The sequence below is a fragment of the Homo sapiens genome, chromosome 13 (genome assembly GCF_000001405.40).
Source record: "Homo sapiens chromosome 13, GRCh38.p14 Primary Assembly".
Lineage (NCBI taxonomy): Eukaryota > Metazoa > Chordata > Mammalia > Primates > Hominidae > Homo > Homo sapiens.
In genome coordinates, this window is record NC_000013.11 from 77,215,830 (window position 1) to 77,235,182 (window position 19,353).

Genomic DNA, 19,353 nt, shown 5'->3' on the forward strand with positions numbered 1-19,353 from the left:
ACTGGCCTGCCAAAGTGCTGGGATTATAGGTATGAGCCACCACACCTGGCCTATGATTTCTAAAATACATACATATATGTGGACATATAAATATATGCATACCAGAGATCCAAAGACGTCCTGTAGCAATGAACACTTCTAGTGCCCAGTTAGTGTCTAATACTATTCCCCACTAAAAAGAATCAGGGTTCTTGGAGAAATGGCTGATTCTAGGACAGTCATACAGGGCCTGTACAAGATAAACCCTGAACAACTTGTTATGCTGGAAAGAAAGGAAGCACTCCAAAAAATGAAGGGGCATGTCACAAGAATACAGGAGCCAACTTGAAGGGGCTACTGCTGGCCAAATCGGAGATAATCTAGGCACCCAAATAATTAAAGATGATAATGAAGAAAATACAAATACCTGAGTCTATACCAATAATAAGTAGAAAAACAAGTAAACAGGAAAGGAGGGCTCTTGCTTAGAGTAAAAGGCCAAGTGCCTACTGGAGTTGAAAAAAATCACCATTTTTTAAACATTATAGTAAAGACTAGCTCAGGAAAGAATGATCAATGGATGCTAAATCTAGGGGGAAATTTTGATGAGAAGCAGGCATCTTAAAAGTGTCAACCTACAGGTTGCTTATAGTTTCAAAGGAGAAACAGTACAGAAATCAGACATTTGATCAGGTGATCAAAATGTCCATAATCAATGAAGAGCAGATGGACATTCTGAGCCTTCAGATGTGATGCAGTGAGGGCAAACACAACATAACTTACAGAGTATCTTGGCCTGGGTGCACAACCTGCATCTAAACATGAGGACATTATCAAAGAAACAAAAATGAAGAGGATTCTATTTTTCAAAACAGTACTATATACTCTTCAAAAATGTCAATGTTATAATAGACAATACATAGCTGTAGAAATGTTACAGATTAAAGGAGACTAAAGACACACAACAGGCAAATGTAATGCCTGATCCTAGATTGGAGGGGAAAGAAATGCCAAAAAATAATTATTAGGTCAATTCACAAAATACAAACTAAAGTATGTAGGAGGTAACGGGCCATAATGTACACAAGACATTGTCAAAGGATTTGAGAAAAAAAAATATTTTATATACATACGTACACACACACATTTGTGCATACACACACACTGCGTGTGTGAGAAAGAGAACAGCCACATGTGCAATAATAAAGCAAATGCTGGATCAAAATGTTAACAATAGGTGAATCTGGTTAAAGACACTAACCAGATATTCTACACACTGTTCTTAGTTGTGCAATCTTTCTGTAAGTTTGAAACCATTTTCAAATAAAATATTTTAAGTACACATTTACAGTTTTTAAAAAATCAAAAGCTGTAAATGTCATCTCAGACACTTAGGTTCAAGAGTTCTTAGTAATTATCCACATCTGAAATGGTACAAGAGTATTAGCACAGTCTCGCAAAGATTTTTCTTGATATCTACTATGCCCAAACTACACAAAATTCTTAGAGCATTTTCACTCTTTAAGCTTTGGTGCAGAGAGAGGGAGAGAATGTGCACAAGCGCCTATGTAACAGACAGGCGGATAGACTCAGAGGGTGGAAAAGGAAAAAAGAAAGTATAATTTTAAACAAATCAAATAAAAAAAACTAGGCTTTTAAAAGGTTACAAAATAGCATAGTTCTATGTGTTAAGAAAAATTCATCTCTACAAGTTAGATGAGAAATAACCTTTCCTATGACAGAATTAGCTCTATTGAATGCTTAAAAGACTTTAATCTGAAATAAACATGTCCAATTCTAACAAAGCTGTTAAATTCAATAAATTCTAATGCTGAGCTAGAGAGGAAAATTACTTCAAAGAATATCATTCAGGTTTAGTGTGTGTTGGGGATGAAGGCATGAAATATGCATATGTAACAATTATAATATAATTGTTATATTATATTCTGGAAACAGAAAAAAGAGCTAATATAGACAAATTATAAGGCAATGGTATAATGCAATATTATTAATGTTTTAAAAATTCCTTACAGAAAAACTTCCAAATGTGAAGACCTGTCCATCCATTAAAAGTACTGCCGTATGGTTGCTGCCTGCAGTGACTTGTGTGCTAGGGCCTGGCAATGCTTGAACAAGAGTGGGACATCCCCTAGGTTAAAAAAAAAAAAAGTAAGTCAATTTCTTACAAAACTCAACTAAAATAAAAACAATAAGTAAGCAATGCAACAAGGAGTAGGAAAGATAAAAGGCACTCATAAGAATATTCAGTAAACATTTAAGTGCTAAACGCCTATCTCCATTCCAGGTACTAGGTAAACAAAGATGAAAAAGACAGTTGCTGACTTTAAGGAGATCATCAAAAAGATCTTCTAAATGTAATTACCCTAATTATAGACACATAATAATTTCTGAAAAACTGGTGCTACATTTATTTTTAATCTGGTACTCTGTATACTGACTGGCCTGTTAGAGATCTTTATAAATAATTATTGGATGAAATAAAAATCATGTAATGCCTTAACAGAAATTCAATCCAGGAACTAGATGAAATAATTTTATGATCATCTTTTCTAACTTTTATCACTAAGCTATAAGTTTAGATCTTAGAATCACAGTTAATGAGTCAAAACACAGTATCATGAGAGGCATTAGAGCAGTGACTACAAGCTCAGGCTTTAAAGCTAGACTGGCTGGTTGTGAATCCTGGCTCCCCAACTTAATAATAATGCGACCAGACTTCGAACAAGTTTTTCATTCTTTTTGTATTTCAGTTTCCTCTTTATCACATGGAGAATACTAACAAACGGTGTCTACCCCCACAGAGTTCCTGTGAACAGTAAAGAGGCCCATACGTGTCAAGTACTTGGATCAGCGTCTGGCACACAGTTAACACTTAATGAACAGTAACTATTATGATAAATGACATCCTAGTATCCTTTCCTACTTTTAACAGCCATTTTTAGTAACCATTATCTGTAATTAGAAACACAACCATTATAGAAATAGTCCACACATAGCAGGAGAGCTCTGCTTTTGAGAAATGTAATTATGACACTTTAAATTTTAAAAATTATATAGTAGTTTGGGTAATTTATGATGAAGGCCTTAACTAGGAGCAGTGCAGAGTGAAAGAGATGGTGACTTTGATAGCTATGTAAGGAACAGAATTGATGAAACTTGGCAGATGATCGATATGGGGCAAGGAAGATTTTTTTTGCTTAAGCAACAGAGTAGATAGTGGTAATATTCACTTAAGCTATGAGAATGAATGAGATCTAGGAAGACTCTTTGAGAGAGAAAAGAAGAGATCCTAATTTCCCTTATGAGTCTCTTCTAACATTTTAGATACAGACCGAGGAAGAACAGCTCACAGACATCTAGAATAAACCACACAGAAAGAAAGAACTCAAGGAGACTCATTGGAGGAGTAGGTTTCAAGCGTGGAAAATAAAGTACATGCCAAATGCTCTAAGGAGACATACACCTAACCACTCGATTTAGCAGAAGGAGGTCTCTTTGGTGGAAGCAGGCACCACAATGCAGCAGATAAGGAGTCAGAGAATACACAAAGTAGCTCTAAGTATCCCAGCACTAAAGGGAAAAAGAAAGGAGAGCCAGCAGCTAAAGGAAAAATGAAGCTGAAGGAGAGGATTTTTTTTTTTTAATGATAAGAGATTTGAGGAAGTTTAAAAGGTGACTCAAAATAAAGACGCTAAAGACAAAGGTTAGAGAGAAGACAGGAAACAGAAATAGATCTCTAAGGAAAAGACAGCTAGGTTTCATAGCAAGGACACAACAGGTTCCTCTTTAACTGTAACATGAGGAAAGAAGCAGAGAAGTGGTATGGATGGAAGTAGGTTTGCAGGGTTGGTGGGCTGAATAATTTCTTACATCTGTTGCAATGTACATGGAGATCCTATGCTAAAAGGAGGAAACAGGTGAGTGGAGAGTTTGAAGATTCGAGAAAAGGTGTGGTGGTAGATGGAATAGATACATACCGAGAGCAGGAGTTTTCAACTCAGATATAAAGGACTTCTAGGAAGTCCATGAGTGAGCTTCAAAAGATCTCCTAAATTTGCAAGCAAATTTTTAAGTGTATATTCTTGTATTTTTCATAGAGACCCCATGTCTTTCATCAAACTCTCAAAAGGTATTAAGTCAAATAGTTCAATACTACACAACAGGAGGATTAATGACCATTGTACAGGAACTGGTTGAATCTGGAAATTAAGTATCAATCTGCATAGGTATGGTGATTTCTTACCTTCCAGAAGCCTAAGTATAGGCATAGGAAATATTAAGATTGATTCATGTTTGCGGTTTTATCATGTCCTAGCACCACGACCAAGAGAGTGGGAAAACTGAAGAAACTGGTAAGAGTATAGGTGAAGAAATTAAGCAACAGTCTTTAACTTGAGTAGGAAATAAAGTTAAAAAAAGGGTGAAAAAAGAGTAAAAAAGTAGAGGGCTGTGGGGCATAAAGTCAAAGGGAAATAAAGTAGGGCTGCATCACAGAAGAAGAAAGTATCATCAGATTATGGATATTTAAACTTGAGAAACTGAGACACAAGAAGATTAAGTAACCTGGCCAAGATCATATAGCTACCAAGTGACAGAATCAGGACCCAACCTAGAGACTGAACTCAGTCATTCTGGCAATATAACACATTAAATAAAGAGAATATCAATAACACTTTTCCATCTTCATTATCATGCATACCACAATATTGATCTTAAACAACACATTATTAATGTGTGCTATATAGTAAATTCCAGTTAACAGCTCTTGATTACTAGAGACTTTTCAAACATATTCTCCAACTGTAACCCTTTATTTCAACTATCTGTAAATGTTTTGCTTTGTTGTAGTTAATACATATGCTATAGAAGCTTTGTTCCTCCCAAGATTGTTCCTCTATAGACATAATCAACTCCTTTCTGAATTAATAACAGAGTTCTTGGTTGCTACTTTCCAAGTTCCACAAAAGTCCAGACAGACAGGGTAACTGAGTGCTTAAGACTGAAGCGGTCTTGATGAATATCTAATCCACTAGGCACAGTATATAGGTATGACTACTGCATTATCCGTTGTAGCTCTGCCCACACTTCATGTAATCAGTCTTTCAGTTACCACTCAATGGAACAAGGACCAAAACATTCCATGCTGGAAAAGAACAACTTTGGGCAGTTAAAACAAATCCCACCAGTGTTTAATCTTAAGAAATTATAGTCATATGGTTGGTAAGAAGTGAAGAGCTGAACCTTGCCTCTACAGTTCCAGGTTCGATGACTATGTAGCATCTACCAGTTACTATACCACTGTGTAGATCCTACCAATGTTTAATCTTCATAAGAAACCCTGATATTTTGTTTCAACATTAAATGCTATCGTATTTCATGAAGACGATAAATTCAAGCAATTTAAAATATTGAGCATATTGCTACAATATTATTACCTGAGGAAGTCTGGCCTGAAACTGCCCTATATCTCTTCAGACTTGGGAATCGAAGAATGGTGTTCACTGGTATAATCAGGACCACGAAGTAATGTTTTTAGGTAATCTCTTCATTTTAAAAGCTGACATGAACACCTTCCCTCTCAGCGGCCAACACACCTCAGTGTGGTGTGGAAGGATGTTGTGCTCATGCTGCTCATTCTTCTGAGTGCCAAGTGCACAGTAAGATAACATAACCTGACTATAACATGGCCATGCTTTTCACTACTTCCCTTTCCACTCTGGCAAGACCATGAAATACTATTTGCCAATTATTTTCTGTGAAGTGCCCTCTTTGCTGCATACATGACTGAGACCCCATCTTATCTAACTGCAATGCACCTTTCCCAGTTTCTATGGCTCACAAAATAACCACCAGCTAAATAACAACAACAATAGCCACGATGATACAAATAAACCCTCTTCTTCTGTGTCCCAACTCTCAAATGAGAAACAGAACAAAAAGTTGCCACGTTCTTCCCCACACAGGTTATAGTCATCCCTCAGCATCCATGGGGAATTGGTTCCAGGATCCCCTGCAGCTACCAAACTCTAGGGATGCTCAAATCCCTTATATAAATTGGCATAGTATTTGTACATAAACTACACATCCTCCTGTATACTTTAAAACATCTCTAGATTACTTATAATACCTAATACAATGTAAACACCATGTTAATAGTTGTTATACTCTGTTGTTTAGGAAATAATAACAAGACAAAAACATCTGTACATGTGCAGTACAGATGCAATTATCGTAGGCCTAACTATGTTTTCTGTCAAGATTGATTGAATCCACAGATGCAGAACCCACAGGTACAGAGGGCCAACTGTAATTACTACCCAGATTCAGCCTCTGCATTTCAGTAATGTTACTCAATTGCAAAGCAAAATATCAGTTGGCATCTAACACCTGTGACAGTAATTGCTCAACACTGTTGGTATTATGTCATATCCAGCAGACACATCTGATAAAGTAATTCTGCCAAACACATCTTTTGCTCTTTGCAAGTATGATATTAGTCATTAAATATTTATGATTGTGATAGTTTTACAAACCTCTTGATAGTAGTATCAATTTTATGTTTCAGTTGTGTTTTTAATAAGAAGTTCAACTCAATGATATCTCAATCGTCTCTTATCATTAGCAACAACATTCATAAACATAACTCAGGACATTCCCTTTTGTTGCCATTTTTTATGCAGTGCCCACAGATCTGACCCTGCCTCAGCTCGAAGGGTAGAGAGTGGTTCTCATCCTGGATACATATAGAATCTGGGGACCTTTTAGAAAAAACTCTGATGCTGGCATCCTATCAAGGACCACTCCCCACCCCTGTCCCACCCACAAGCCTTTCAACACACACATCTCTCAGAAATGCTGGATGTAGAATCCACATATGATATTTTTTCAAATTCCCTAAGTAATTCTAATATACAGCCAGGGTTAAGAATCACTAATCTTTACCATGTAAATGGCAGAATTCCATCCCTGCCACAATAGTAGAGTGAGTTCAAGACACAGTGACAACCTTGAATTTTATTTAATGACTATGTGAAGGTAAGTTCTCTTTCTTTCACTGTATGTAAAGGAGAAACCATAGAAGTCCCCTTGATTCTGGCATATACACTGTGACTGCGAGGAAGAATAAGGCAGAGTAGAAGGTCAAAAGGTAAGTTTTTGCAGCTAAGTGAATTGCTGAGTGAAGTCTGGCTTGAAGCTGCTCTCTATCTTTCCAGACTTCATAAATACTCCTGTTTCCATGGTGAGACAACCACAGACACAGACCACTCAGATCTCCTTCAAGACAATCTGCTACAGAGAGCAGAGTTAACTATTATAACAGCCTCAGGTGCTGTCCCTTTGGATGCACGAGGACATTCGTCCCCTGGGGTGCTACCAGCTGTGACTGAACATGGTGAAGGTATGAATGTTGGTCTATTCCTGCCCAATGCAGGACCCTTCCAAAGGTATCCTCAGCTTGGGGACACATCACTGGCCTGGCTAAAACTCTCTTAATGTTATGCTGGAACCTAGACTCCTACCCGATTCTTCCTTCTCTTTCTCCTTTCATAGGGTCAAAACTACATGTATCTAATAAATTCTTTGCATATCTAATCCTGTCTTGGCATCTGCTTTCTGGAAGACCTGAACTAATAAAGATGGATTTTCTATTACTTTTGACCAAAAGTATTCTGACTGCATTACGTAGAATACAAACTCGGCTGCTGTAATGAAAGACAAGTAAGAGGGACTTCAAGATACAAGTTTATTTCTCACGCAAGAAGCATGCAATTTAAGAAGCTGATGAGGCAGTTCATGGTGTCAGAGACCCAGCCTATTCCCATCTTATGATTCTGCCATTCTCAGTACACAGTCTCCAACTTATCTCTGTGATGACTTCTTTAGTTTCTGCTTCCACATATTCATTCCAGCCAGCAAGCTGGGAAGAGAGAAGGACAAATGGAAAGGTACACCCTTTCCCTTTAACAGCAAGATTCCAAAGTGGCACCTATCACTTAAGTTCACATGGCCACATCCTGCTGCAATGGAAGCTGAGAAAGGGAATCTTTAGCTGCACGATCATGTCACGAACTAAAACTAAAACTAAAACAAATGAAGTAGGGATATTAGGAAATTACCACCAGTCTCTCTACTACTATTTGCAATAAGTCAAAAGAGTTAATCAGAGAGACCAATAGGTTCTGTCCAAAAATTATTCAAAAGCTTCAATGACTGCATGTTATTAGACCAAAATTTCAAAACAGACATCAGGAATATGTTTGAATCCATTGCTGACATTTTTTAAAAATACAATTCACTATTTTTCTATTGCCATGCACAGCCTTTAAAAAGATAATTGCTAAGAATATAGTGATATTTTGTGACAATCATAATCACTCTCCTATTTAAAATATATATCAGCTTTTCTCCTGAAACTACAAAATCCTTTATCTCTACAAAAGCACTCAACCATAAGATCAGAAACCACCAATAATTCATGGGCCACACTTTGCAAAGCAGTGGTATAATATTATTTTAATTCTAGAAATATATACTTAAAAAGAGAAAAGAAAGAAAAAAGAAGGAAAAGAAAACAGAAGAAAAAATAACTCTGGATCTTCAAATGAAAAGTTAGCAAGTACCTGGAGTTGACATCTCCATGTCCTAGCTGCCCATGCTGCCCATAACCAAATGTATAGACATCTCCATTTTCCATTAAAACCACTGCAACCAAAACACACAGCTTTATTTTTTCATTATATGCATTTTACATTTCTATCACAACTATACTAAAAGCAGTGTAATTTTCACTATTTAAGATTTATAGAACCATTAAAAATAGGTAACTGAAGGACAAATTTGTATTTAATGAGAAATTAATTTTAGTTCTGAAAAATATTTTTGTAGGTCATATAAATGTATAATTTTTTCATAATACACACTTAAAAATTCGTATAAATGCCATTTAATAACATTAATTCTTATTAACACACTGGTTCAGGTCAACTGTAAAATCTTCTTAATAATGAGTAACTACATATAAAATATTGTTCTCTCCTATCTAGGATAGGAGGTCTGCACAATTACGTACAACATCAATGAAACAGCAGAACTTTAATGTCTGTTAATACCTTATCAAATAATCTTCAAGGAAGGAATTTAACATTTTTGTTTTTATAAAGGTTGAACAGTACAGCAAAAGCTAACCCAAATGCCAATAATTTACTAAGAATTTAATTATTTTCTACATTTTAAGAAAGTAAATTTGTTGACATACATTTATCACTGAACATTAACAAAATATGGGAACATGTTACAAAAACCACAGCATTCTAGAACTGAAAGAGATTTAAAGGATTATTTCATCTTCCAGACTGTCTTGAATTATAAAAGAAGTCCACAGGAAGACAGACTAGAAGTTAGATCTCTAGACAAGTACCTGTTCCATCATGCCATAGTTGTTTAAAGAGATTCTGTAATAAATACAAAGGTCTTACAGATTTGAGAGACTGCCACGCTACAGCTTTTAACACACAGTTAACAGGCTATGTTCATCAAATCTGAAGAAATAAGTTACTGAGCACAATTGTAAAAACGCAGTTATACCCTAAAGTTCCAGCCGCTACCTGAATGGTGAAATCCACAGCTGACTTGGACTGCCCGGAGCTCACAGTCAAATCGCACAGAGCCTGGAGGGTATGTTGTGATTTTGCTTGCATCCTTTTCGCCTCTTTCTCCACTTCCATCTGCAAGTGTTATAATTTGTGAATTATGATTAAGCCATTATTCATCTTCAAAATAAAAATTTAAATCAGTTTATTATGGAAGAACAAGAGAAAAATGTTAAAAGGAACAAGCAAGAAGAATCTGTAGCTGTTAGAAGTGATAGATCAAGAATCTACCTGCAAAGAAGGAATTTTGAAAAGATAGACTATATACTTCCATTTGCAAATATCACTAAATTAATAAAAACAGAGATAAGATCTGGTTATGGATAAAACCTTATGTAATAAACGGGTCATTAAGTTATAGAAATAACAAAATTTAAAATGTAACAGTTTATATGGGAAAATTTAGTTTCCATAAAAAATTACTGCATGCAAAGTCATTTAACAATTATTTTAAACTTAGTGATATTGTTAGTACTAGCCATTTTTAAAAAATTGCTAATGGATTCACAAGTGACTTAGATTTCCTAAATAGATCTTAGAAAGGCTACACTGCCCATAAGTATTTTGAAACTCAACTGAACTTTTCAAAATGTATAAAGACCAAAGAGCTTTATTCAATATATTGCAGTTCAATGGCCTATTCTTATTCATGTTTCCTGTGCCACCATCACCTTCAGCCATATTGCTTTGTGGTTTTCTCCCTGTCCCCAATCACTACCCTCAACCAAACCTTTTTTCTGCTTTCACTCCTTCTTTCCTCCTCCCTTCTCACAATTTCCTTCATTGAGCTTGCTTTAAGCCTTTTCTTTACCCTTGGCTTTTGCAATCCAACTTTGAATTTTCCAACAATCTAACCATAGCATCAAAAACCACATTCCAGAATATAAAAATTTTTGTTTGGAATGTGTAAATAACAACAACTTACTTTTTCTAATCACAATGTACTTCTATACATCACTAACATATGACCTTTATATCATCAAGATTCAAATTCCTTGTACACAGAATAAATGTAAATCTGGAAGGAATTTCACAAGTTCAACTAGTCTAAACCACTCTCAAGTGGTATAGCAACTCTAAACAAGTGTGTATTATATGAAGATACATATGTGAATCTACAGACACACACTTTCTATCCTGTATTTTCATTGTGCATTTTAGAATGTTAAACAGAATAATATTAAATCATTTTGTGTTTATTCTTTTTTTACCTAACCTTTAGTAACATCCAGGTGAGACAAAATCTACCTACATTATTACTTTCCTTTCCGTAACTAAATGCCTATAATTTCAAGAAGACTGAAACTCTTTACGACACTAGGACAGTAAAACCTCACTAATTCGGAATAACATAGAACAGGTAGGCCTGTGTGGCTTACTGGAAACGTCTTAATCATACAGAACACTGAAGTAAAAATTCAGTTTTGTTACCTTCAAGCAGTACAGATTACAGATTAAACTAAATGCTACAATAAATAGAGTGTGGTTACCTACATTATATTTCAAAATAGGCCAATATTACATTTAAAATGTACCATAAACATAAAAGTCCTTTAACATACAAGAATTAACTGCTGGACCCAGAGGCTGAAGGCACGTTGAAGGAATCCTTCATTTCTTGAGCCCTTGGTTTGAAAAGCTAGTGATTTTAGACAGGTTTCCCCTTATAAGTATGACCCTGAAAATTCAGAGGAAGAAATTATTTTGAATTTTTTACTCAAAAAAGATCACAAATACTGCATCTCAAATATCATAAATTCAGAATTAGTGAGAGGTTTTACTATAATAGGATGAAGATATAATTCCTCTTCTGCTAAATTATCTAATGTGGGTTTGCCAAATTAAATCAAAGAATGGATGGACTAAAAAAAAAAAAAAAAAACCAACAACATTTAGTTTCACTCCATCCAAAATAAAATATACTCAGTTCAAAGCCTCCTCATGTTGGAAAGATAGTGGAATGGTAAAATATATGCAAAAGCCTACACACACACACACACATACACACACACACACACACACACACACACACACACACAAATACATATCTTCCAAAGGCTATTTAATAAGACGCCAGATGTAAAGAAATTTTACGGCTTTATCTCAATTGGTAAAAATGTCTAATTATTAAAACCAAATGAGATTTAACATAGAAAATACATTGTGTTCATATGATTCTGCCAGACTTAATTAAACATTTCAAGTATCATTCCACTTTATATAAATGTATTGATGCCTAGTTATAAGGTTTTACCTTTGAATTTAGCATTTTGTCTCCTCCCTTGAGTAGGAGATTAAATATAGGCATAAATCCCACAATAGAGACATAGCATCAAGGAAGGAGATTATTTTTAAAGGTTGGTAATTTAGTGAATACAACCACAATGACTAAAAAAGTAGCAGCTGTTATTTAGAGGTCAAAATAATACTAGAAACATTTTGTTCATTGAAACAAACTGTAACTGTACAAAACAACTTCTCAATTATTATAGACAGTGAAAATCTTACAAGTAAAAAAATTGAGATGAGGGTCTTAATCTTTATCAGCAGCAGTGGCAGAATTAAAATATATATTTTATATATATATCTGTATATGGTATTTGATATCAAAAAATTGAGTATAATTCCTATAACTCAGACATTAACCAAAGTTTATCAAAGAAAAAAGGCACTTAATAAGTGGCCAAAAATTTAGTCCAAATTCAAGAACCAGCAAGTGAATTCAGCAAGATTAATTCTGCTCAAGCTGGGCATGGTGGTTCACACCTGTAATCTCAGGGCTTTGGGAGGCTGAGAAAGGCAGATTACTTGAGCCTAGGAGCTCAAGACCAGCCTGGGCAACATGGTAAAACCCTGTCTCTACTAAAAATACAAAAAACTAGCTGGGTGTGGTGGTGAATACCTGCAGTCCCAGCTACTTGGGTGGCTGAGGTGGGAGAATCACCTGAGCCCGGGAGGTCAAGGCTGCAGTGAGCCGTGATCATGCCATTGCACTCCAGCCTAGGTGATAGAGTGAGACCCTGTCTCAAAAAAAAAAAAAAAATCTGTTCAAGCTCATTATTCAGTAAAGTGTTAATGAGCAGCAATAAGACCAAAGCTTAGATCTATATAAAAAATTAAACATTGTCAATAAAAAATTGACAGATGTGAATAATCTTATAATTGGCCATTTAAGTATGAGCACATCTGTATTTTCCCTAAGATGAATATGTTGTGTGTGTGTGTGTGTGTGTGTGTGTGTGTGTGTGTATACCATGTAACACTGAAACTACAGTAGCTACAAAGCCTTGGCAACTATGTAACTAAAATATTATATGTATGTACACATTATATATAATTATATACACATATTTGTATACACAGAGAAAAAAGAGGGTTCAGTATCTAAGGGACTCTAACTTCTAATTTTAATTTTTACTAAAATCTATACTTTTGGAGGGTAATCCTACAGTCATGCATATAACAGAAACTACCACAGAACACAGTGAGTACTTGGAGCAAAATCATTAAAACAAATCAGCAAGGACAAAAGTAGTTGCAATTTACTAAGCACTTGCTGTGTGCTAACTGAACACTGTAAACAATTAAATACCACAGTGGATGAGTGCTTGGGAGTACTGGAACTTAAGAACTTGGACTGGAATCTTGGCTCTTCTCATTTGCTAGTTGTATGACAACTGGACACTGGACCTTCTGGTCCTAGCTTTCCTATCTATAATATAGCAACAATGATATGTAACTCATCAGGTTCCTATGAGAATTAAATAAAATATGAAAAGTGCTCAATCAATATTTACTATTGTTACTTTCTTTAATGAATAAAGCAATCTGATAATATAGGTATTCTTTGTCCATCTTACAGATGAAAAAACTAAGGCTTGAAGGGTTAAGGGGTTAAGTAACCAGCCCAAAATCATAAATGGTAGGACAAATTTAGAGTTTAATCATAAATAAGGCTCATGCATTTTACCACCACCAAATGGTTGAAACCTTAAATCCTTTGTAAAAATAAACTATGCATTTAATAAATCTCAAATATTGTACCTTTAAGATAATTCTGAAAGAGAAAACAAATAATTCAATTCAAAATATTAAAGCTAGTATTCATGGAGGATTTATATGTGCAAAGACTACATATGTGGGTGTGCAAAGACTACACACATATATTTTAATCTTCATAGCAACACAATCAGTTAAGAATTACTATTCTTGTTTTTAAAATAAGAAAACTGAAGCCAAAGAGATTAAGACATTTTGCACAGCCATGTAGTTCTAGTAAATGACAAATTCAGAAATAAAATTGAAGCCTAATTCCAAAGGCTATAATATTTTCATCACACTGCACCATTTCCAAACAGAAAGTAAGAGTAAAATAGACTCAGATGTTTATCAGTGTGCCTTCAGATTTTCAAATCAGTCATTTTAAAATAGATTTTAGGACTATCTCTAGAACAATTCAGATGTTCCTAACTATGTACACTATTAACACATTTTTCTGTGTAAGGTACTGAATAGCTGAAACAAATGTTAATTCTGTTTCGAATATAGTTTATAGGCACATTTTAGAATAATTTACTGTATTTTATATGGAATTTTACTTATTGATTCAGTCTATATACTCTGCTTTGCCTTTAGTCAATATCTGCCTGTATAGGATGAATTCTGACCTTCTCTGAATTTTCTCCAATCACCCAGAAGTTCTCCAACTTTCCATCTTAGAACTTAGTCCTGTTAACAATAAATCCACAGTTCTTACTCTCCTTACACCCTCACAAAAAAGTCACAGTCTAAAAAATTTTAACTATTACCATCCTATAATTTGTACCAACATAATTAAATGTAGGATAGAACATAGCAATCAATACCATAAACTTCTCAGTAGATAAACTAGAAGATAAACTGGGTAAGGTGAAGAGAAAAATATATGTAGAAAAAATACTTATTAAAAGACTGAAAATATGTACAGGTTGAGCATCCCTTATTTGAAATGCTTGGGACCAGAAGTGTTTTGGATTTTGGAGTTTGTTCAAATTTTGGAATATTTGCATATACATTATGAGATATCTTGGGGATGGGACCCAAGTCTAAACATGAAATTCATTGATATTTCATATACAAATTACTCACATAGCCGAAAGATAATTTTATGCAATATTTTAAATAATTTGGTGCATGAAAATTTGTATCCCTGCACTATCAGAAAGCAAAGGTACCTCAGCCACCCAGCCACCCACGTAGACAAACTGTGATTGGCGTCACCATCATGCTGTGCATGGAAAAGCTTTATCATAGCTGAAGAGGGCTGAGAGGATTGCTTTCACTTTAGGACACTGAATAAGCTGTGTGCTGGGACTGCAACCTGTCACAGGAGGTCAGGTGTGGAATTTCCCACTTGGGGGCTTCATGTTGGTGCTCAAAAAGTTTCAGATCTTGGAGCATTTCGAATTTTCAAATTAGGGATGTTCAACATGTCGTAAAAGTAAAAGCAGTGAATGGAGAGATAATTAAATGACAAGACAGTGAGTGTAAATGGTTAGTGGCTGGAGGGAAATTAGTGAGCAGTAAATTAATACTCTTCACAAAAAAATAGGGTACCAATTGATAAATTATTATTTGCATTGTAAATGTATTTGGGGAGTAAAAAGATAAAACTATCTCACTCTATAAAACCCTAAAATCCAATAAAACTGGTCCTACACTGTGATATTACAAAGTAGGTCCTTACAGAGTGGTTACAAGTATACAAAGAAACTTGTTATAAAGTAACCCCATGACAAGCAAACTTGAAGACTAGCTATCATTGAATAACTTGTTTTTTCACTGCAACCTCTGCCTCCCAGGCTCAAGTGATTATTGTTCTCATGCCTCAGCTTCCTGAGTACCTGGGATTACAGGCATGTGCCACCACACTGGGCTTATTATTGTTATCATTATTATTTGTATTTTTAGTAGAGATGAGGTTTCGCCATGTTAGCCAGGCTGGCCTCGAACTCCTGACCTCAAGTGATCCACCCCCTCAGCCTTCCAAAGTGCTGCAATTACAGGCATGTGCCACTGCGCCCAGCCTCACTGAATAATTTCTATAGCCAATCATTATGTGACATTGGGAAAAGTTTGCTTTAAATATGTAACCTTGGTTTTCATTTAACGTTTCATTTAAAAATCTGGAAAGGGTAAAGATACTTGTCCATGAGATACTAACATGGAGCTGAAAAGGTTTTAAACTGTTTCATGAAATGTGAATATTTAACCTCAGTTAAACTATTGGGAAAACTTCACTTTCATATATTTGGGGGAAGAAAGAAACTGAAAAAATCTGTTCTAATTGTGACATAGTAGAAATCATAAAAGATCAGACATTCTGGCAAATAACAATTTCATTGCATACCCCAAATATTATTCCTTATATATGTATCTTTTCTTTTTGGAATCAGCTGTCTTAGGTTGAAAATTCCTTAAATATTTATGGCATTGTTAGAGCACTCAGTAAATAAAGTAATCACAAATTTTACTGTGGTTAATTGCATTAGATTTAAAACACTATTTTTATTTCTGCAGAGTATATCTTAAGTTGTGCTCTATTTACACCTTTACTAAAGATGAGTTTTGTCTATTTTGTTTATGTTTTTGTTTTGAGTGGCAAACTGACAGACTGAAAGAGGCAAATAAAAATAAAGTGGATTATACTATATTGCCTATGAAATTTTTTTAAATTAGACTATGACAATTTTGCAGCAAAAAAAAGAAAAGGATCCAAACATTAATTAGATTAATTTGTCTACATGGAAAGCATGTTTTTAAAACTTCCTATTCTATTTTGCAGGACCTATCTTAGGCATTTAAGAAAATGGGAGTTTTAAGTTGTGCTAGCTAAGGAAGAACACTGGTTCAAAGGCCAGGATACAAGGCAAAAATTTTATATAAATTTATAAATTCCTTGTATTAAATTCTTTCCTGATCTTAGCTGACCCATAATTTGTGGTTTACAAGAAAATAAGCATGCTTTAAGAATATATTTAATTAACCCAGAACTCTGAGATCTCAAAGGACAACACCGAGCTAGATTCCTACTTCCTCACAGACTAGGATAGCCCTCTGACCATCACCAGGGACTAGAGAAAGTCTTCATGATTCGTGCTTTGCTTGCACTTATCTCTACTTAACCCACAACCATCAAATATTTGTATATTCATTTGTTGTTTATATAAACTTAATTAATAAACAGTGGAAAAGTGTAATGGCAGTCTTATTATCATCATTTAATATACTGAATTTAGTAATATTGTTTATCCTAAAGCATATAAACAGCATTCAAAAAAGAATTGTAAAAGGCCAGATCACAGTCATTAAAGAGCAAATAATAAAGGATGTAAGACAGAAAGCAATAATTATTTTTTCCACCTTCCCTTAACTTTTTGAAATTTGAAAAGAAATGGACAAGGAAAAGATATATTGTAAAATATCTCCTTTATGAAAGCTAACGACAACAAAAAAACAAGAAGCATGACAGTCACTGACAAACGGTATCACTTTCAGAATGTTCTTTCTCCTCAGGCTACATCATGATAGAAGCAAAGTAGAAGAATCAGGTTTGTGCATTTTCCCAGAGACAAAATTCAAATGAGTGGAAGAAATTGGGAAAGTATCCCACCTAGGTGATAAGGAAGACCAAATACCTTTGTGCTTGTCCCGTTTATGCTTTAGCTGTGCTGGATGGGATCTGAGTCTGGCTAGAGCCTGTTCTCGATGGTTCATAAAAATAGGACCAGCAAATACAAGGGGGCCTGAGGAGAAACATTTTGTATGTGCATAGAAAAACTCACAAAATGAAAACACTATAATGAACAAAAAATAATTCAAACTAAAAAGCATAAAAATTTATTCTTAACGGTTTTGGACATTATACTTTTCTTCCAATTTCCCCACTCCAGCCCCCCACCCCCACCCATAACCTAATCACCATTTCACATAAAAGTTAATATCTTAAATATAATTTATAAAGTACAAAACCCGTCTTGTATACTCATAAAATTATTGTGTAGTTACTAATAGTCTCAAATAGATAATCAAGAAGTTCAATTTAAATCAATCAAATTATCTTACAAATACTTTTTTAATATCATATATATTCAAAGTCAGTAAACCATGTATTCGTTGAAGACAGATATCTTTTCCATTGAAACATAAAAACTAATTTTTAAATTAACCATTAAGTTTTAACAAGCTCTTCCAGGTTTAATATTTGTATTAATCTTGCTACAAAACCAAAATAAAAATGTTACCGAGTTTACTACAAATCATAAATAGAGGTTAAGAAAACCAGATGATCAAAAACAAAACAAAAATGTCTATATTCTGCATATAGATATATGTATACACACAGAGAGAGAGAGAGAACGAGAGAGAGAGAGAGAGAGAAAGGAGCTTGGGCTTTATATTGATGGTAAAGGGGGCACCTAACCCAAATAACATTTTGGAAACATCTTTCATTAAATCATTTCTTCTAAAGTGCCACTATGTACATATATATATACATATATAAATACATACCCACACAGATTATAGCTCTTTCCACTTATATGGTATTTAAGGAAAAAATATACAGCCAAATTTATTTTAATAAAATAAAATAAATCATTTTTCCCATTAACATTTATTTACCTTGAAAAGAAAAATAAATTTTAGTTACAACTTAAAATTTTAGGTTTTTTTCTTATACAGCAGAACTATAGTTTCCTTGAGTTTTAACAACATCAAAAATGTCTTCAAATTTGAAAACACTCTAAATTTGACAGGTTACCATTAACTGAAACAGGAATTATGACACTATATAAGCACTGAACATTTTTATTTAAAACAAGTTTTTTCATGATTCTCTATTGATCTTCAGTTTAATTTTTCTAATGATGGGACAAATTGAGCCTACTGCCCTCTAATAAAATTTCATAAATGTCAAATTAAATATCAAAGTACCCTTCATTAAATGTACAAGTGGGTAAAGGAACCATATTTCAATTATGTTTCTAGATATAAACAAAAATGCAAATACCTCAAATTGTATGAAAAACCATGAATAACATATTCTATGACTACTACAGATAGAAACATGCTAATTTAATGTTAACAGAAGAATAAGTTCTCAATAATGCAGTACCAATTATTTTCTCAGGCTAAGGTTATGTAAACTGAGTTCCATTTCTAAAATGTAATAAAATTGATATTTCAAATATGAACAAATATGAACAAAATGCCTTATTTTCTTAACATGCATGATTTCTCAATTGTTACAAAGCAGATATATAAATTACTATAAAAAGTATTTTCCAACTATATAAAAAAGTTATAGATATTAAGGTAATAATATTGTTATATTACCATTTTCTGATTTCTATGGTCTGCCTACAATATTGTTTCTCCTCATGAAAATACATCACACCCACACCCGTTTAATGTCTTGCTAAATTCAATCTTTTTAGAATCTTTTGATTTATAAATCAAGAAGGCACGGGGGCAATCATGTCTAAAAATTAAAGCAATTGGGCTCGAAAATACTATTGTATCCCATGGGCTAAAATAATGTTTCTTTAAATATAGTTGAGTCACTAATTTATTCACCAAATTTTCTGATTATCTTTTATTTAGCAGACACTAGGTGAAATGAATATAATGACAAAGATACAGGTCTCACTGGAATTCAGTCCAC

General features: G+C 34.2%; 1 protein-coding gene across 1 annotated transcript in view; it reads right to left on the minus strand.

The window, feature by feature from the left end:
• The window catches only part of MYCBP2 (MYC binding protein 2), a 282,438-nt gene that overhangs the window by 171,173 nt on the left and 91,912 nt on the right, over positions 1-19,353 (minus strand). The window contains exons 18-21 of the mRNA NM_015057.5: positions 17,327-17,434; positions 9,606-9,725; positions 8,622-8,703; positions 2,011-2,128 (exon numbers count right to left, since the gene is read on the minus strand). Of these exons, the coding sequence (NP_055872.4) occupies positions 2,011-2,128; positions 8,622-8,703; positions 9,606-9,725; positions 17,327-17,434 (428 nt within the window). The remainder of the gene's footprint in view (positions 1-2,010; positions 2,129-8,621; positions 8,704-9,605; positions 9,726-17,326; positions 17,435-19,353) is intronic.